This window comes from Homo sapiens, chromosome 1 (genome assembly GCF_000001405.40).
Source record: "Homo sapiens chromosome 1, GRCh38.p14 Primary Assembly".
Taxonomy (NCBI): Eukaryota; Metazoa; Chordata; class Mammalia; order Primates; family Hominidae; genus Homo; species Homo sapiens.
The window spans coordinates 114,474,221-114,495,366 of record NC_000001.11 but is presented as its reverse complement, the minus strand read 5'-3'; the positions used below and the strand labels follow the sequence as shown (position 1 = coordinate 114,495,366).

At 39.6% G+C, this 21,146-nt stretch overlaps 1 protein-coding gene across 7 annotated transcripts in view, besides 2 other annotated features; it reads left to right on the top strand.

The window, feature by feature from the left end:
• TRIM33 (tripartite motif containing 33) overlaps positions 1 to 21,146 on the top strand; it is a 118,414-nt gene that overhangs the window by 15,837 nt on the left and 81,431 nt on the right. The window lies entirely within an intron of this gene.
• Positions 12,464 to 12,533: an enhancer, noted in NCBI's record as "active region_1545". NCBI's record gives its function as "activates an Ori minimal core promoter by ATAC-STARR-seq in GM12878 lymphoblastoid cells {active_cell/tissue: GM12878}" and the evidence as "EXISTENCE:reporter gene assay evidence [ECO:0000049][PMID:35858748]".
• Positions 17,139 to 17,639: an enhancer, noted in NCBI's record as "NANOG-H3K27ac hESC enhancer chr1:115020350-115020850 (GRCh37/hg19 assembly coordinates)". NCBI's record gives its function as "activates a minimal SCP1, AML or CMV promoter by ChIP-STARR-seq in primed H9 embryonic stem cells {active_cell/tissue: H9 hESC(primed)}" and the evidence as "EXISTENCE:reporter gene assay evidence [ECO:0000049][PMID:30033119]".

The following is a 21,146-nucleotide window of genomic DNA, read 5'->3' as shown; positions in this document are numbered from 1 at the left end:
AATGTGGTAAAATTATACCTAAATGTGGCCTTTCCATGTTAAGCTGATAGCACAAACTCAGATGCCTTCAGGAACTAGGAAAGTAACTAGTATAAGACATTGAGAGTAGTGAAACTTGCCTAGCCTTCTTGCATTTAAAAAATACTCTATTTTGGCAGGCATGGGGGCTCACACCTGTAATCCCAGCACTTTGGGCGGCCGAGATGAGCGAACCACTTGAGGTCAGGAGTTCAAGACCAGCCTGGCCAACATGGTGAAATCCCATCTCTACCTAAAAATACAAAAATTAGCCAGGTGTGGTGGCACATGCCTGTAATCCCAGCTACCCGGGAGGCTGAGTCACGATAATCGCTTGAACCTGGGAGGTGGAGGTTGCAGTGAGCCGAGATGGTGCCATTGCACTCCAGCCTGGGCAAGAGAGTGAGACTGCCTAACAATAACAACAACAACAACAACTACTCTATTCTGGCCAAATAATACCAGTTAGGCTGCCAATTTTCTGTTTTTGTCCTGACTTGGTAGAATCTGATTAGTCATTTTTAAGGTGGATGTAATTAATTTATAGTTAGTTTGATTTCATAATTTTTAAAAGTTTATTTAAGTACTTAAGTAAACTAGCATTATAGTTTAATTTGCAGATCTGTGAGAACCGGTAAAGTCCAACATCTTTTAGTACGGCTGTTGGCCTTTGAATATCATTTTTTGTAGTTGCCTGTTCGGGTTGTGCTTACCTTTTCCCCTGTGGTTTGTCTACCTTTTTTCCCAGTGCTTTTGTAGGATTCTTTATATATTCCAATCATGACTCTTTTGTCAGGTATATATCCTATTTTATGGCTTGCCTAGCAGTTGTGTTTTAAAATGTTAAATTTATTTTAGCTTTTGAGTAAACAGTACTTTCCCACTGGTTGAAAAGTTAAATAAGTATACGAAGCTGGATATTGAGAAGCCTCCCTCCCACTCCTTATCCTCATCCAGTTCCTGTCTCCCCCAACACATAACCTGTGTTAATACTTTATCTGTCCTTCCAGTATATCCAAGTGATACTGGACAATGGTGCCAGATCCATTCAGTGGCAGAAATATTGGTATCTTCAAAAAATGACATTGGGCCAGGCATGGTGGTTCATACCTGTAATCCCAGCACTTTGGGAGCCTGAGGCAGGAGGATCACTTGAGCCTGAAGTTCAAGACTCGCTTGGGCAACATAGTGAGGCCCTGTCTCTAAATAAAATTAAAAAAAAAAATGGCGGGGTGCAGTGGCTCACACTTATAATCCCAACACTTTGGGAGGCCAAGGTGGGCAGATCACGAGGTCAGGAGATCGAGACCATCCTGGCCAACCTGGTGAAACCCCATCTCTACTAAAAATAGAAAAATGAGCTGGGCGTGGTGGTGCATGCTTGTAATCCCGCTACTTGGGAGGCTGAGGCAGGAGAATCGCTTGAATCAGGAGGCGGAGGTTGCAGTGAGCCGAGATCGTGCCACTGCACTCCAGCCTGGCAACAGAGCGAGACTCCATCTCAAAAAAGAAAAGCCAGATGTGGTTCACGTCTGTGGTCCCTGGTAGGTACTTGGGAGGTTGAGGCAGGATTGTTTGAACCTGGGGAGGTTGAGGCTGCATTGACCTGTGATTGTGTCACTGCACTGCAGTGCACTGACAGAGCAAGACCGTGTCTCAAAACAAAAAAAGGATGTTGGTACAACTGGATTTTCACATGCAAAGGAATGAAGTCATACCCCTACTTCACACCATATGCAAAAGTTAACTCAAAATATATCAACAGGCTGGGCATGGTGGCTTACGCATGTAATCATAGCACTTTGGTAGGCTGAGGTGGGAGCATTGCTTGGGGCCAGGATTTTGAGATCAGCTTGGGCAACATAGTGAGATCCTGTCTCTACAAAAACAAAACAAAGACAAGTAACAACCTAAATAAAGCATGAGCAACTAAAGAAAAAATAGTAAGTCGGACTTGATCAAAATGTAAAACTTTTGTACATTGAAGGCCATTATTCAGAAAGTGAAAAGAAAACCTGCAGAATGGGAGAAAGTATTTGTAAGTCATGTATTGGATGATAGTGAAATATATAAAGAACTCTCACAGCCTGATAATAAAGACAACCCAATTAAAAATGGGCAAAAGATCTGAATAGACAGTTCCCCAAAGAAGATATGTATATATGGCCAATAAGCAAATGAAATGATACACTAGATCGTTTGTTATTAAGAGAAATGTAAACAAAACCACAAGGAGATACCACTTCACACCTGCTAGGGTGGCTCTAGTTAAAAAACAACAAAGTGTTGGCAAGGATGTGGAGAAATTAGAGTCCTATATTGCTGGTGGAATGTAAAATGGTGCTGCCACTGTGGGAAACAGTTTGGTGGTTCCTCAGAAAGTTAAACATAAAATTAGCATGTGACCTAGCAAATCCATTCTTACATATCTGTGACCCAAAAGAATTGAACACTGGGACTCAAACAGATACTTGCCAGTATTAATTGCAGCATTATTCACAGTAGCCAAAAGGTGGAAATAATGTTAAGTGTTCAACAGATGAATTGATAAAATGTATATACATGTAATGGGATATTATTTGGTCCTGAAAAGGAATGAATTTCCGATACATGCTGCAATATGAGTAAACCTTGCAAACATAAGTGAAATAAGACAGACATAAGAGGGCAAATATAAGATTATACTTACATGAAATGTCCAGAATAGGCACATTCATAGAGACAGAAAGTAGACTAGAGGTTACCAAGGGCTTGCAGGGAGAATAGGGAGGGAATAGAGAGTTGTTTAGGATGGGAGTGGGGGAGGAATGGGCGATTGTTGCTTAATGGATATAGTTTCTGTTTGGGATGATAAAAGGTTTTGAAAATTATGGTGATGGTTGGATGGTTGCACAACATGTTGAATGTAGTTAATGCCATATAACATACCTGATAGTTGTATACTTGTATACATAATATACATACATAATAGTTCAAATGGCAAATTTTATGTTATATGTATATACCACAATAAAAATGTTAAAATATGTTAAAAATGTTTTTCCTTCTAGAAATTTTAAAATCATGTGTTTTAAAGTACGTTTTATTGTATGTTAAAAATTGATTCTCATTCATGGATTCTGTGTTTTAGAATTCACCTACATGCTAAAATTTATTTGTAACCCCAGTATTAATAATAGCAGTGCCTTCACAGTCATCCCTACACATGGGCAGAGCAGCAAAAAATTTGACTCGCCCAATTCACATATTCCCAGCTGAGGTGAAACTGGGAGATGCTTTGCCTTCTTTCAGCACTCATAGCATAAATATGTGTCCTTGTTGTGGCCATGTTCTCATTGTGCTTTTTGTTGACTTCACTGCTTCAAATGGCCCTAAATGTAATAAAGCTGAAGTGCCCCGTAGTGTTGCTAAGTGCATGAAGGATGTTTGTGCTTTATGGAGAAAACACGTGTAAGGTAAGCTTCATTCATGTATGAGTTACAGTGTTTTGGCTTTGAATTCAGTGTTAATGAACCAGCGATATATTTTATTTATTTATTTATTTTGAGACAGGGTCTTGCTCTATCACCCAGGCTGGAATGCAGTGGCCCAGTTACGGCTTACTGCAACCTTTGCCTCCTGGTCTCAAGTGATCCTTTCACCTCAGCCTCCTGAGTAGCTGAGACTACAGGCCCATGCTACCACACCCAGCTAATTTTTTACATTTTTTGTAAAGACTGGGTTTCACCATGTTGCCCAGGCTGGTCTTGAACTCTGGACTCAAGCTTTATCTACCTACTTTAGCCTCCCAAAGTGCTGGGATTATAGACTTGAGCCACTGCATCCAGCCCTCAGCAATATGTTTTAAAGTGACTTTAAATATAAATGCATATAAAAATGTTATGTATTGACTGGTTGATGAAAATTTTGTGACCGGAGGCTTGCAGGAACCTAATCCTGCATTTCCTCTAGGAGCAATAGTTTAGTTAATTTGTTAATTTATTGTTTGCAGCAACTGTATAGAATATAACTACTATAAATGATGAGAATCGACCCTAGGTCAATGCAAATAAAATTATTTCTTTTATATAAATGGCAACACCTCAAGATCTTTCTCTGAAAAGTACATAGTTTCCTTTGATTTTTGTTCTGAAGTCTATTTGATCTTATATTAATATAGCCACTCATTAAAACTTAATTCACAAACGATATGTTAATCACACATTTGAAGTGTATGGTTCAGTAGTTTTTAGTATATTCTGAGTTGTGTAACCATCACCATAATCAATTTTAGAGCATTTTTATTACTCCCAAAAGAAACCCTCTACCAATTAGCAGTTATTACTCACTTACCCCCAAACCATTCCCCCCAGACTTAGGCAGCCATTAATCTACTTTATTGTCTCTATAGATTTGCCTATTCTGGACATTTCTTACAAATCGAAATATACGATGTGTGGTCTTATGTGGCTGACCTTCGCCTTCATCTGTGCTGTAGCATGTATCAGTGCTTCATTCTTTTTTTAAATACTTTTTAAAAAAACTAGTCAAGTGCAGTAGTGATATGAGGAGAGAGTAGAGCAAAGACTTAGATCTGTAACTGACTGAACAATCTGTTGAGATAACTCACTACCTTCAAGTCAGCCAGTACTTCACTATTTTTAGGCCTGAATAATATACTCTTTTATGGCTATACCACATTTTGTTTAACCATTCATTAGTAAATGGACACTTGAATTGTTTCTCTTTTTTGGCTATTATGAACAGTGCTGCTATGAACATTTGTGGATAAGTTTTTATGTGAACATATGTTTTCATTTCTCTTGGGTGTATACTTGAGAGTGCAATTGCTGGGTTGTGTGGTAACTTATATTTAATCTTTTGAGGATCTGCCAACTGTTATCTGAAGTGGCTTTAGCATTTTTCTTTACCATCAGCAATATGTATGAGGGTTCCAGTTTCTCTATAATGTTGCCAACAATTGTTATCTTTTTTATTGTAGCTATCCTGGTGGGTGTGACATAGTATTTCATTGTGGTTTTGATTTGCATTTCTTTTGTGGCTAATGACGTTGAGCATTTTCTTTTGCACTTATTGACCATTAGTATATCTTCTCTGATGAAATGTCTGTTCAGACTTTTGTCCATTATTTAATTAGGTTATTTGACATTTTAAAGTTGTCAGTTCTTTATGATAGTCTGGATGTTCTACCCTTTTTCTTAATTTTTTTTTTCTTGTCTTTCTTTTTTCTTTCCTTTCCTTTTCTTTTTTTTTTTTTTTTTTTTGAGACGGAGTCTCGCTCTGTTGCCCAGGCTGGTCTTGAACTTCTGGGCCCTAACAATCTTCCTGCCTCGGCCTCCTAAAGTGCTGGGATTACAGGTGTGAGCCACCATGGCCAGCCCTGACGTGCTGCACCCTTATATCTGATTTAGCGCTATCTTCTATTTGTGGGTTGTCTTTTACTTTCTGTCTGGGATTATTTGCAGCACAAAAGTTTTTTGTGTGTGGAAAAATAACATGTAACAAAATTTAACCATTTTACCCACTGTTAAGTGTGTTCATTGGCTTTAGTTATATTCACAGTGTTGGCAGCACATGTTTTTTTTATTTATTTATTTATTTTTTGAGACAGGGTCTTGCTCTGTTCCCCAGGCTGGAGTGCAGTGGTGCAATCACAGCTCACTGCAGCCTCAACCTTGTGGGCTCAGGTAATCCTCCCACCCCAGCCTCCCAAGTAGCTGGGACTACAGGTGCACCACTGCACCCAGCTAATGTTTTTATTTTTTTTTGTAGAGACAGGATTTTGCTGTGTTGCCCAGGCTGGTCTCAAACTCCTGGGTCCAAGCGATCCTCTTGCTTCAGCCCCGTAAAGTGCTTGGATTAGAGGTGTGAGCCACTGCACTTGGCCACAAAAGTTTTTAAGTTTGATGAGGTCCAATTTATATTTTGTGCTTTTGTTTTTCGCACCATATCTGAAAAATCATTTCGTAATCCAAGGTCATGAAGATGTATTCTTATGTTTTCTTTTAAGAGCTTTACAGTTTTAGGTTTTAGATTCAGATTCTCTGATAAAGTTGAGTTAATTTTTGTATGTGAAATTTGTTTGTGAGGTAAAGATCTAGTTTCATTCTTTTGCACAAGGATATCCATTGTCCCTGTATCATTTAGTGAAAAGACTACTCTGTCCTCCATTTAATTGTCTTAGCAACCTGTCTAAAATTAGTTGACTGGGTAAATGTGAGGGTGTTTTCCTGGACTTAATTTCATTCCATTGATCTGTATGTCTGTCTTTATGCCAATAACAAAATTAAACAACAACAAAAACAGGGTCTCACTCTGTCACCCAGGCTGTAGTGCAGTGGTGCACTCAGGGCTTACTGCAGCTTCCACCTCCTGGGCTCAGGTGATCCTCCCACCTCACCTTCCCCAGCTGAGACTACAGATGCGTGTCTCACACCACTACAGATGTGTGGCTACACCACACCCAGCAATTTTTTTATTTTTTGTAGAGATGGGTTCTTGCTATGTTGCTGGGGTGGGTTGTTCTTTTTCAAGATCGTTTTGGTTCTTCTGGATCCCTTGAATTTTTTTTGGTTTTTGTTTTTTAAAGGACAGATCTTGCTCTGTTGCCCAGGTTGGAGTGCAGTGATGCGATCATAGCTCACTGCAGTCTTGACCTCCTGGGCTGAAGCAGTTCTTTCACCTCAGACTCCTAGTAGCTGGGACTGCAGCCGCATGCCACCACGCCTGGCTAATTTTTTAATTTTTTGTAGAGATGGGGTCTTGTATTGTTGCCCAGGCTGGTCTTGAACTTCTGGGCTGAAGCGGTCCTCCCGCCTCAGCCTCTCAAAGTGCTAGGATTACAGGTGTGAGCCACTGTGCCTGGCCTCCATCTTCTTTTAATGTACTTACATTATTGTGTTTGAAGCTTCTTGTATTAATAGATAGCATTACTGTTAGATTATGGTTTAAGTTTATTCACTCTTCTGGTCTTTATTTAGTTCATGTGTTTAGGAGTATTTAAGGTATGTAGGTATATTTAAGGTAATTATTGATGTGTTATGGCTTAAATATGTTATTGTTTTCTGTTTGTTTCCTTTGTTTCTCTTGACTTCGTTTGAGTTACCTAAAGTTCTTTTTAAGATTCCGTCTTTATTTATGGTGGTTTTGTGTAGTTTATAGTTTTTGGAGTGCTTTGAATAGCGTCTTAGATATCGCAACGTTTATTTGTAACTTAAAGTCTTTGTATTGACATTTTACCATTTGGAGTGAAGTATAGACGTTTTACTTCTAGTTAGGTCCCTTTACTCTTCCTAGTTTTAAAATGATTATCTTTAATTTTCTGTCTATATAGATGACCAGATAATATATGATCTTTTTTATAAGCTCTCACATGATTTAAGAAATCCATGAGAAGAAATCTATTATATTTACTCTCATTTTTTTTTTTTTTTTTTTTTTTTTTTGAGACGGAGTCTCGCTCTGTCGCCCAGGCCGGACTGCGGACTGCAGTGGCGCAATCTCGGCTCATTGCAAGCTCCGCTTCCCGGGTTCACGCCATTCTCCTGCCTCAGCCTCCCGAGTAGCTGGGACTACAGGCGCCCGCCACCGCGCCCGGCTAATTTTTTGTATTTTTAGTAGAGACGGGGTTTCACCTTGTTAGCCAGGATGGTCTCGATCTCCTGACCTCATGATCCACCCGCCTCGGCCTCCCAAAGTGCTGGGATTACAGGCGTGAGCCACCGCGCCCGGCCTATTTACTCTCATTTTTATCATTCCAGTGTTCTTTTCCAAAGATTCAAGGTTCCTTCTGTTAACATTTTTTTTTTCTGTTACGGCAAGTTTTCTTTAACCATACATGCTTTTAGGGGTATTAGTGACAAATTTTTATATATTTTTTCATCTGAGAATATCTTTAGTTGTCCTTCATTCCTGAAGGGTATTTGTTGAATATAGAATTTGCATTTCTGAGTTACTTTCTTTCAGCCTTTGAATGATGTTGAGCCAGGTTGTTTTTTTTTTTTTTTTTTGGCCTGCATGGTTTTACATGAGAGATCCACTGTCATTTGAATAGATGTTCCTCTGCAAGTAAAGTGGTCATTGTCTGCTTTCAAGATTTTTTTCTTTATCTTTCAGAACTTTTATGATGTATCTTGGTGTGGATTTATTTGGGTTTTTCTTATTTGGCATTAACTCAGTTTTTTTATATGTAGGTTTATGTATTTTGTCAAATTTGGGACATTTTCAGTCATTATTTGTTCAAGTAATTTTTTTTTTTTTTTTGAGACAGAGTCTTGCTCTGTTGCCCAGGCTGGTGTGCAATGGCGTGATCTTGGCTCACTGCAGTCTCCATTTCCTGGGTTCAAGTGATTCGCCTGCTTCAGCCTCCCAAGTAACTGGTACTACAAGCGTACGCCACCATACCTGGCTAATTTTTGTATTTTTAGTAGAGATAGGGTTTCACTATTTTGGCCAGGCTGGTCTTAAACTCCTGACCTCAAGTGATCCACCTGCCTTGGCCTCCCAAAGTGCTGGGTTACAGGTGTGAGCCACTGCACCCGGCCTGTTCAAGTAATTTTTAAATTTTATGTACTCCTCTCCTTCTGGAACTCTGCAGCTCTGGTGACAGCAATGCTAGCTAGCTAGTTTTTTATTGTTCCACAGGTTCTTGAGACTGTGTTCTGTTTTTCTTTTCTTTTCTTTTGGTCTCTTGATTTTGCCTGAAGGTCAGTTATTCTGTTGCCTGTTATCTTCTCTTGTCTATTGAGCCCATTTATTGAGTTTTAAATTTTTGGTTTTTGGGTTTTTTTTTTTTTTTTTTTTGAGATAGGGTCCCACTGTGTTGCCCAGGCTGGAGTGCAGTGGTGTGATCTTGGTGCCACGACACCGGCTAATTTTTGTATATTTTTTGTTAGAAACGGAGTTTCTCCATGTTGGTCAGGCTGGTCTTGACCTCCTGACCTCAAGTTATCTGCCCGTCTCCATTTCCAAAGTGTATTTTTTAATCCTATAATTTCCATTGGTCTTTTTTTTCTATAACTTTCATTTCTTTTCTATTTTCCATTTGTTTTAAGGACATTCGTATTGCCGTTTTAAGATGAGGTCTTACTCTGTCGCCCAGGCTGGGGTTCAGTGTTGCGATCTCAGCTCATTGCAACCTCTTCCTCCCGGGTTCAAGCAATTCTCCTGCCTCAGCCTACCAAATAGCTGGGACTACAGGTGTGTGCCACCATGCCTGGCTAGTTTTTGTATTTTTAGTAGAGATGGGGGTTTCACCGTGTTGGCCAGGCTGGTCTCGAACTTCTGACCTCAAGTGATCTGCCTGCCTCAGCTTCCTAAAGTGCTGGGATTACAGGTGTGAGCCACTGTGCCTGGCTTATATTGCTTTTTGAAGCATTTTCATAATGGTTCCCTTAAAGACTTTGTCAGATGTTTCTAATATGTGATATCTGATCATCTTGGTTTGGGCATGTACTGATTGTCTTTTGTCAGTTATGATTTTCCTGGTGTTTGACAAATAATTTTTTGAGTATATTGCAAATATTTTGGATATCACATTCTGAGACTTGCGATTCTATTTAATCTTCATTTTTTTCCAGCAGTCTTTCTACTGAGGTATAACATAAAGGCCAGGTAGGGTGTATGTTCACCTTCCCCTTGGGCCTCCTGACACCACCCTGGCAAAAGTGGAGTGCTGACTTTCTCTGCCATGTTGCAGATAGGTGAGATGAAAGTTCAATTTCTCCCTTGGTCCTTCCTGATGAAGTGGGGTACCAACTCATACCACCTTGTCACCTCTGATTTAGGGTTTAAGTTCAGTTCCACTGAGCCCTTGTGATACCAGGGAGGGAGGAAATGTAGGGCTAACTCATTCCACTGGATTGCTACATAATAGGGGTGGAGTCTCAGCTTTCCACTTGGATTTTATCATACCAGGCAAAGGGATAAGAAGTGATGATTTGCCTGGTCTCTTACCCCCTTATTCCTTATTATTGCCAGGTGGGAGTAGAAGTTCAGCTTCCTGCTATTCCCTACTGATATTGAGGAGTAGGAGATTTTTTTTTTCAGTATTTTTAGTTTTAAAAAAAAAATGGGGGCTTCAATTAAAGTCGCCTTTATTTAAGATCCCAGCAGTGGAAATACTGAGTTCTTTTGGTCCTAACATTTTACAGATTATAGTCGTGAGATTATGGAATCATGACTCACTAAATTCATGCTTTTAATTCCTATTCTCTGCAAGGCAGTGTTAGATTATCTCTGCTCTTGGGAGTTTGGAGTTTTGGAGACTTTAATAAACACGTACTTTTTTTTTTTTTAAAAGACAGAGTCTCACTCTGTCTCCCAGGCGGGAGTGCAGTGGTGTGATCTCGGCTCACTGCAACCTCCGCCTCCCAGGTTCAAGTGATTTTCGTGTCTCAGCCTCCCGAGTAGGTGGGATTACAGGCATGTGCCACCACGCCTGGCTATTTTTTTGTGCATTTTTGTATTTCTTATTTTTATTTTTGGAGGTGTAGTCTCACTCTGTCATCCAGGCTGGAGTGCAGTGGTGCGATGTGGGCTCACTGCAACCTCCACCTCCTGGGATCAAGCAATTGTCCTGCCTCAGCCTCCTGAGTAACTGGGACTACTGGTGCACACTGCCATGCCTGGCTAATTTTTCTTTATTTTTAGTAGAGACAGGGTTTCACTGTGTTGCCCAGGCTGGTTTCGAACTCCTGAGCTCAGGCAATCTGTCTGCCTCGGCCTCCCAAAGTGCTAGGATTACAGGAGTGAGCTACCATGCCCAGCCTAATTTTTGTATTTTTAATAGAGATGGGGTTTCACCATGTTGACCAGGCTGGTCTCGAACTCCTGACCTCAGGTGATCCACCCGCCTCAGCCTCCCAAAGTACTGGGATTACAGGTGTGAGCCACCATGCCCAGCCTAAACACACATTTTTAAAGATGAAAAGGATGACCAGTATAATTCTTGCAAATGAAACAATTTGCAGGTCAGAGTCTTGATGGTTAGTTAGCCAAGTTTTTTTTATTTTTTTACCAGTTCAATTAAAAAATTATTTAGAAAAAGTAAAACGTGGGCATGGTTAGAGTTTCAAACAGTATAAAAGAATATAAAATAACTCATTTAAGTCTGTAAGTTTCCAAAGTATGAAATGCTGACTATCTCATCTTTATTATAAAATTTGAAACAACACACTAACAAGCTCTTAAGAGCTCCTTGAATTTTGTCTGGCAGACCATTATTTCAAAATAAAACATCTTTTTGCAAACTCAGTTATGTACATTTTTATTTAGCACAACTGCCTGCTTAACATCTTTTCTTGAGTGACCCAGATGTGTCTCAAATTTACTGTCTCTAAACTTGAACTAATTGTAGTTTCCAAACCTCCACTTACAAACTGTAACAGTCATCTCATTGTTCCGGTTTCCTAAACCAGAAATTTGGGCATCGTTTTCATCTCCTCTTCTAATACTCCTCTACTCCTCAGTCTGTAGTTTTCTAGTAATATTTTATCTGTGATGTCTTTGTCTTATGTCTTTGGTAACAGGGTGATATTGGCCTCTTGAAATATGTTTTTTCTTCTCTATTTTCTAAAGAGTTTGTTTGAGGTTTGTATTATTTCTTCCTTGAGAGAATTCACCATTAAAACCAACTGGGGCCGGGCACGGTGGCTCACACTGTAATCCCAGCACTTTGGGAGGCTGAGGCGGGTGGATTGCCTGAGCTCAGGAGTTTGAAACCAGCCTGGGCAACATGGCGAAACCCCGTCTCTACTAAAAATACAAAAAATTAGCTGAGCGTGGTGGTGGGTGCCTGTAGTTGCAGCTACTCGGGAGGCTGAGGCAGGAGAATCACTTGAACCCAGGAGGCAGAGGTTGCAGTGAGATCATGCCACTGCACTCCAGCCTGGGCCACAGACAGAGACTCCATCTCAAAAAGAAAAAAAAAAAACCCAACTGGGTCTGGACTTTCCTTTTTGTAGATTTTAAATTACTGATCTAGTATTCAGATTGAGTTTTTCTATGTCTTCTTGAGTCAGTTTGGTAAAAATTTTTTTTTTCAAGACAGGGTCTTGCTTTGTAGCCCAGGCTGGGGTGCAGTGGTGTGATCGCAGCTCTCTGCAGCCTTCATCTCATAGGCTCAAGCAGTCCTCTTGCCTCAGCTTCCTGAGTAGCTGGGACTACAAGTGTGCACCATCGCACCTAGCTAATTAAAAAATTATTTTTGTAGAGACAGGGTCCCACTGTGTTACCCAGGCTGGTCTCGAACACCTGGTCTCAAGTGATCCTCCCATCTCAGCCTCCCAAAGTGCTGGGATTACCTAGCTGGTAATTTGTATTTTTAAAGAATTTGACCCATTTTGTTTTAGTGGTCTAACTTGGCATAAGAGGTTCATAGTTCTATTAGTCCATTCTGACACTGCTATAAAGACATACCTGAGACTAGGTAATTTACAAACAAAAGAGGTTTCTCTGGTTCTTCCTGCTGTGCAGGCTTCTGCTTCTGGGGAGGCCTTAAGAAACAATCATGGCAGAAAGTGAAAGGGAAGTTAAGCACATCTTCATACGGCTGACAGGAGGAAGAGAGAGTGAAGGGGGAAGTGCTGCAGACTTTCAAACAACCAGATCTCATGAGAACTCAGTTACTATAATGAGAACAGCAAAGGGGAAATCTGCCCCCGTGATCCAATCACCTCCCACCGGGGCCCTCCTCCAACATTGGAGATTACAATTCAACATGAGATTTGGGTGGGGACACAAATCCAAACCATATCAGTAACATTTTGGCAGGATCTCTTGTTAAGTCTTATATTTCATTTTTGGTTTTGGCACAATGTGCTCTCTTTTCTTTTTAGATCAATACCAATCTGTCTTCTCTATCTCCCCCCATCTCCCTCCCTGCACTCATTTTCCCATCTAGGTAATTGTTTATCAGTTGTTTTCAAAGAACCAGCTTTGAGTTTCGTTCCCCTTTCTTCCCTATTCATAGCTACTCTGATCTTTATTTCGTCCTATGTAATGTTTTCATTTGGTCTTCTTTTTCGAGCTTAATGAGGGGCATGTTGAGATGATTGCTTTTAGATGTTTTTTTCCTTTCTAATATATGTCTTTGAAGCTATACATTTCTCTCTAAGTTCATGGTGTTAAATGTGGTACCTAATGGCCATATGTGACAAAATTAAGCGTAAATGAAATTGATGATTTACTTCCTTAGTCACTGTTGTCACATTTCAGGTATTCAGTAATCATGTGTGGCTGATGGCTGCCATATTAGACAGTGCAGATATAGAACATTTTGTCATGGCAGAAAGTTTTGTTGGACTAATGGCCTGTAATCCCAGCTCTTTGGGAGGCCGAGGTGGGCAGATCACCTGAAGTCAGGAGTTCAAGACCAGCCGCGCCAACATGGTGAAACCCCATCTCTACTAAAAATACAAAAATATTAGCTGGGCATGGTGGCGCACATCTGTAACCTCAGCTACTAGGGGGCTGAGGCAGGAGAATCACTTGAACTGGGTAGGCGGAGGTTGCAGTGAGGTGCGATCACGCCACTGCCCTCCAGCCTGGGCGATAGAGTGAGACTCCATCTCAAAAGAAAAAATAAATGTTTAAGCACTCTTTCAGCTGTATCCCATGGGGAGGAAAAAACCAATATAAAAAAATATATATATACACACATATATATATATATACACACATATATATACACACACACACACACACACACATATATATATAGTTTTTTTTCTTTTTTTTTGTTTTTCTTGGGTTTTTTTTCGGACAGTGTCTCACTCTGTTGCCCAGGCTGGAGTGCAGTGGCGCAATCTCAGCTCACTGCAACCTCTGCCACCCAGATTCAGGCGATTCTCCTGGCTCAGCCTCCTGAGTAGCTGGGATTATAGGCGTGTGCCACCGCACCCAACTAATTTTTATAGTTTTAGTAGAGATGGGGTTTCACCATCTTGGCCAGGCTGGTCTTGAACCCCTGACCTCGTGATCCACCACCTTGGCTTCCCAAAGTGCTAGGATTACAGGCGTGAGCCACCACATCTGGCCTATGGTTTTAATTTTGTGTTTGGTTCATTTACATTTATAATTGTTACATGTATCTGATGTATTGATTCTTTAACATATAAAATGCTTCATTTTACTTAGTAATATGCTTTGAGAATCTTTTTTTCTTCTTTCTTTTTTGGAGACAGAGTCTTACTCTGTTGCCCAGGCTGCAGTGCAGTGGCGTGATCTTGGCTCATTGCAACCTCCGTCTCCTGGGGTTCAAGCTATTCTCCTGTCTCAGCCTCCCGAGTAGCTGGGATTACAGGCATGCGCCACCACACCTGGCTAATTTTTGTATTTTTAGTAGAGACAGGGTTTCACCATGTTGGCCAGACTGGTCTCAAACTCCGGACTCCAAGAATCTTTTTTTTTCTGATGTTAGTGTGACTACTCCAGCTGTCTTATGGCAACAGCTTTCATGATTTTATCTTCTCCTCTCCTTTTACTTTATCCCTATTTATTCATGATTTTATCTTCTCCTCTCCTTTTACTTTATCCCTATTTATGTATTTGAATCTAAAAATGTTTCTTTCAGAGGATATATAGTTGGATTTTACTTTTTATCCAGTTTGACAATCTCTTCTTTTCATTGGAGTGTTTACTCAGTGATATAGTTGGATTTAGGTATGCCATTTTGCTAGTTGTTTTCCGTGTGTCATTTTTGTTCTTTTCCTTCTTTACTGAGACTTCTATGTTTACCAATATTTTTAGTGTACCTTAAAATTTTCTTTTAGTTTTTGTTTTAGTTTTAACTCTTGCAATTATGATATCTCTCTTTTTTTTTTTTTTTAAGGCGGGGCAGGGCCTTTTCACTTCTTTTTTTTTTTTTTTTTTTAAATTGATCATTCTTGGGTGTTTCTCGCAGAGGGGGATTTGGCAGGGTCATAGGACAATAGTGGAGGAAGGTCAGCAGATAAACAAGTGAACAAAGGTCTCTGGTTTTCCTAGGCAGAGGACCCTGCGGCCTTCCGAAGTGTTTGTGTCCCTGGGTACTTGAGATCAGGGAGTGGTGATGACTCTTAAGGAGCATACTGCCTTCAAGCATCTGTTTAACAAAGCACATCTTGCACCGCCCTTAATCCATTTAACCCTGAGTGGACACAGCACATGTTTCAGAGAGCACAGGGTTGGGGGCAAGGTCATAGATCAACAGCATCCCAAGGCAGAAGAATCTTTCTTAGTACAGAACAAAAATGGAGTCTCCTATGTCTACTTCTTTCTACACAGACACAGCAACGATCTGATTTCTCTATCTTTCCCCACATTTCCCCCTTTTCTATTCCACAAAACCGCCATCATCATCATGGCCTGTTCTCAATGAGCTGTTGGGTACACCTCCCAGACGGGGTGGCGGCCGGGCAGAGGGGCTCCTCACTTCCCAGCAGGGGCGGCCGGGCAGAGGCGCCCCCACCTTCCGGATGGGGCGGCGGCCGGGTGGAGGCGCCCCCTTCCTCCCTCCCGGACGGGGCAGCTGGCCGGGCGGGGGCTGCCCCCCACCTCCCTGCTGGATGGGGCGGCTAATTATGATATATCTTTAACACCACAATTCACTTCAGGACAATACTACCTTCATTTTGTTAAAATATAGCAACTTTGTTCCACTGTAGCTCCATTTCTATCTTTTGTATTGTTATAGTCATGATTGTTACATTTATATAGTCTGGTTTTATTTCCTGTCATCCTGACAGACTTCCTTTAGATTTTTTGTGGTACAAATATGCTAAGTGTGACTTTCTCTCAAATTTTGTTTACCTGTGGCTGTTTTTATTTTGCCTTCATTTTTGAAGGATATTTTTGTTGCATATACAATTCTTGGTTTATAATTTGTAGTTTGAATATGTCATTTTATTGCTTCCTGGCCTCCATATTTTTAATGAAAAGTCAGATGTTGATGGATTGGTTTCCTTGATGAATTATTTTTCTCCTGGTTTTCAGCAGTTTGACTGTGATGTGTTTGGTTTGATTCATTTCGTGTTTATTTTGTTTGTGGTTCTCTCCCCTTTTTGAATCTGCAGATTAATGTGTTTCATCAGGTTTTGACATTTTCCACCATTATTTCTTCAAACATTTTTTCTATTTCTTTGCTCTTATGTCCTGTGACTTTTATTACATTTATGTTGGGAGCTTGACATTGTTCTACTGGTTTCTGAGGATCTGTTCTTTTCTCGTCAGTCTTTTTTCCTCTCTGATTTTTTTGATTGGATTGAAATTAAATTTTAATTTATCCATCTACAAGTTCACTCAGATCTTTTTTTGTTTTTTGAGATAGAGTTTCACTCTTGTTGCCCAGGCTGGAGTGCAATGGTGCAACCTTGGCTCACTGCAAACCTCTGCCTCCTGGGTTTCAGCAATTCTCCTGCCTCAGCCTCTGGAGTAGCTGGAATTACAGGTGCCCACAACCACGCCTGGCTAATTTTTTGTGTTTTTAGTAGAGGCAGAGTTTCACATGTTGGCCAGGCTGGTCTCGAACTCCTGACCTCAGGCGATCCACCTACCTTGGCCTCCCAAAGTGCTGGGATTACAGGAGTGAGCCACCACGCCTGGCCTGAAGTGTATTATTGAAGCCCAGATATGTAGTGAATTTTTTATTTTGCATGTACTTTTAATCTGTGTGGCTTCTTTTTATAGTTCGCTCTTAAGACTTCTTATTTGTTGAGGCTTTGCCATATTATTTTATTATTTGAACACTGGTTCCTTTTTATTCTTTTAAAATATTTATAATAGTTGCTTTGAAATCTTTGTTTTTATTCTCACTTGGCCTTTAGTTTTTTCAGGGCTTTCTTGTGTCTCCCTTTGGTATGTGCAGTGTCCCAATTAGCCATGTCTGTATAGAGAGTTGATCTTAGCCCTTCCGTGACTCTCTCATTTCAAGTTTCTTTGTATTAATGTGGTTGATCTGCTGCTTGCTGTGTGACCCCCAACCCAGGTATAGCAAAACCTGTTCTTTCCAGACAGATACTAATTTATACCTGGCAAATCTCATGTTTTCGCATTCACCTCTCTCCCCAATTGATTCTACCGTGTGTGACAGCAAAGCTGCTGTTTTTATGGTCAGCCCCATTCTAGTAAAACTACTGATTTTTCAGACCAGACTTTAGGACTAAATGGGGACCATGGGAGCATCCTCAAGCAAGAGGGCCAGTGCCTTTCATTGCTTTTACCTGAAACTTTAGCAGTCTTTGTAGAATAAGTGTGTCTCATTTTGCATGACAGTAGTTGATTCCCTGTGGTCTGAATTCGTTGTTTGCTTTTTTTCTTTGTGACAGTTTTGTACAGTTTTATACTTTGTCTTTGAAGAGAGGATTTGCTTTCCCTTGTGCCATTATTGAAAGTGGTCCAGCTGTTAATTTTTTTTGTACCTTCATTTTGTTGTAAACTTATCTTTTAAATTTTAGTAGTCTTAAAAAATAAGTGACATCTCAGGTATCCTGTGTTTTCTAGAACTGCAGTGTCCTGTACCATAGCAACTAGTCACTGGTGGTGATTTAATTTTTAGTTATCTAAAATGAAATTTTAAAATTTAGTTTGTTGGTTCCACTAGCCATTTTGCAAGTGCTCAGTGGCCAGTGTTGTATTGAGTACTGCATTGAACAGTGCACATACAGCACGTATCCATTATTGCAGAAAATTCTGTTACACAGTGATGCTCTAAAATCTTTGAGATGAATAGTAACTTGTAATAATAGCTTACATTTTGTGAGCACTTAGTGTGTGTCACATTTTATATGTATAAACATGTAGTCTTCCCAACAACCTTTGAGGTAGGTACTGTTATCCCTGTTTTGCAAAGGGGAAACTAAGACTCAAAGATTAAGGAATTAACAGCTCTGAAGGGGTTGAGATTTAAATCTGTGTAGTCTGGCTCCAGAATCTGTTCCATTAATAATTTTGTATATTGCCTCTTTGGTAAATGACATGCCTGGTTTCTGACTTGAATAGAGAAGTGTTTTTGTTTTTTTTTTTTCCTTTAAGGTTTTGCTAGCTTTAAATGCTATTTAATATTTTGGTAAATGATTCTTTCATATTTAGGTTGTTTGCTTCTCTTTTTTAGTGTTCTTACTAAAAATGTCTGAATTTTATCATATGCCACTTTAACATCTGTTTATATAACCATATAGTTTTCTTCTTCAGTTGTTTTGATATGATTATTTTGTTAAATTTCTTTCCGTTGAATAATCCTTGAATTCTTGGTAAACCTTACTGATCATAATATTCTTTTGACAGATTGACAGAATGTTTGCTAATATTTCATTTAGAAATGTAGAGTCAATACGCTGGAGTGGTCTGCAGTTTTCTTCTTTTGCATTGCCTTTGGTAGGTTTTAATAGTAAAACAATGTCGGGCTCTATAAAATGAATTCGGATTTTCACTCTTTTGTTCTAGATTGGTTCAAATAATAATGGAATGCTGGTTTATTCTTTAAGCATTACTCTCCTGTATAACTATCTGGATTTTGTATTTTTTTTAAAATGGCAACGTCTTCTAATCTTTGTATGCTTACATGTCTCTTCAAGTTTAATTCTTGTTTTGCTTTTGATGAATCATATTTTACTAGAAAATTGGCCATTTATGCTAGATTTTAATATTGCTTGCTTTAGAGTTACATGGAGTATTTTCTGATATAGGCTTAGTAATCTTTTAAAATTGTTTTGCTTTGTCTGTTTCCATTCTGACTTCTCTATGTTTTTTTCTCTTCATTAGATTCCTAAAGATTTTACTTTTTTCTCAAAAAATTTTTAGGTTATCAATTTTGTTTTCAGTAATGTATATATTTCAGCTTTTATATTTAATTCTGTTCTCATACTTCTGTTTTTTTAAAAAATTTGTCAAGGAAAGAACTAAGTTTTATTAGTTTTGTTTTTAAACATTTAAGTCTACAGATGGAAATAATAGAGTTGAGTATGAACTGTTTCTGCTGCATTTTTTTCTAGATAGCTTGTAATTTAGGTTTGATTTCCAGATGGAGTCCATTTTTATTTTGGGTTGTGTGTAGTGATGTTTTTATTTACTTTCACTTTGTAAAGTTTTAAACTTTTATAGGATGTGGACTGTAAAATTCAGTATCTTTTTAATTGAAAGGTTTTTTTTTTTCTTATTTGTTTTTGGTAGCTGAATACAAGATCAAATTTTTTAAATATTACACAGACATACCCAAAAATGTATATATTCTATTCTAGGAATATATAATAAATAGCTCTGAAATTATTTCATCCATTCTTTTATGTTTTGGTTTTTTATATCTCACTTGAAAACTGTACTTCTATGTTTTCATGATCTCCTTTATTTTAATAATTTTTCCGTATTATTATTTTGAGACAGAGCCTTTCTCTGTCACCCTGGCTGGAGTGCAGTGGTGTGAACATGGCTAACTGCAGCCTCCACCTCCCGGGCTCAAGCAATCCTGCCTCAGCCTTGCATGTAGCTGGGACCACAGATGCACACCTACACGCTGAGCTAGTTTTTAAAGTTTTTCTAGAGATGGGGTCTTGCTTTGTTGCCTAGGCTGGATCCTTTTATTTATTTAGTTGTTGTTTTTGTTGATAGATTTCTTTTGAAATTTTCATGCTGTTTTTTCTTGGTCATACTAAGTGGCATTCTCTTTTGCTTTGTTAAACATTTATTTTTATTTTGAGATGGAGTCTTACTCTGTTGCCCAGGCTGGAGTGCAGTGGCGCCATCTCGGCTCACTGCAAGTCCTGCCTCCAGGTTCACGCCATTATCCTGCCTCAGCCTCCCGAGTAGCTGGGACTACAGGTGCCCGTCACCACGCCTGGCTAATTTTTTTTGTATTTTTAGTACAGACAGCGTTTCACCGTGTTTGCCAGGATGGTCTCGATCTCCTGACCTCATGATCCTCTTGCCTTGGCCTCCCAAAGTGCTGGGATTACAGGCATGGGCCACCGCGCCTAGCCTAAGACTTATCCTTTATTACTGTTTTTTAGCAGTTTGATTATGATGTGCTTTGCATGGTTTTATTTAGAAGTGCTATCTTCAGAGATTATTGTGGTTCTTCATCTTTGGCTTATAGTTTTTATTAAAGTTGGAAAACTTGATCATTAGTTCTTAAAGTATATTTCTCATTGTTTTTATTTCTTCTTCTGGGAATTCAGTTACACATATATTAGACCACTTGATAATTGTCCCACAGGTAGTGAGCCTCTCTTTTGTTTTGTGGGGGGTCATATTTTGTTCATCTTCATGTTCATTTCTGTTTGTCTCCCTTCAGTTTTGCCAGATTTTTCTTCATGTGTTTTGAAGCTGTCTTGTTATGTACACATATGCATATAACTATATCTTCCTGAGAATGGATATCTTTATTATTATACAAATTTTGCTCTTGTCTCTAATGATTATTTTTGTGTAAGGGTCTATTTTATCTGATATTAGAATAGCCACTCCTGCTTGTTTTTTTTTTTTTGAGATAGAGTTTTCGCTTCTGTTGCCCAGGCTGGAGTACAGTGGTGGGATCTCGGCTCACCACAACCTCCACCTCCTGGGTTCGAGCAATTCTCCTGCCTCAGCCTCCTGAGTAGCTGGGATTACAGGCATGCGCCACCACACCCAGCTAATTCTTATATTTTTAGTAGAGACAGGGTTTCTCCATGTTGGTCAGGCTTGTCTTGAACTCCCTACCTCAGGTGATCTGCCTGCCTTGGCCTCTTGGCCTCCCAAAGTGCTGGGATTACAGGCATGAGCCACTGCCCCTGGCCTTTTTTTTTTTTTTTTTTTTTTTAAATAGAGACAAGGTCTTGCTCAGTCACCCAGGCTACGGTAGAGTGGCATGATCCTAGCTCACTGCAGCCTTGAACTCCTGGGCTCAAGCAGTCCTCCTGCTTCAGCCTCTTAAGTAACTGGGCCTGCAGGCAAATACCACCACACCTGGCTTAATTTTTTTTTTTTTTAATTTGTAGAAATGGGGCCTTGCTGTGTCACCCAGGCTGGCTTTGAACTCCTGGCCTCAAGTGATCCTCCCACCTCAGCCCAAAGTGCTGGGATTACAGGTGTGAGCCACCGCACCAAGACTCCAGCTCTTATGTAATTACTGTTTCCATGATTTGACTTACTTTTTTCTTTCATCCTGTATTTGTCTT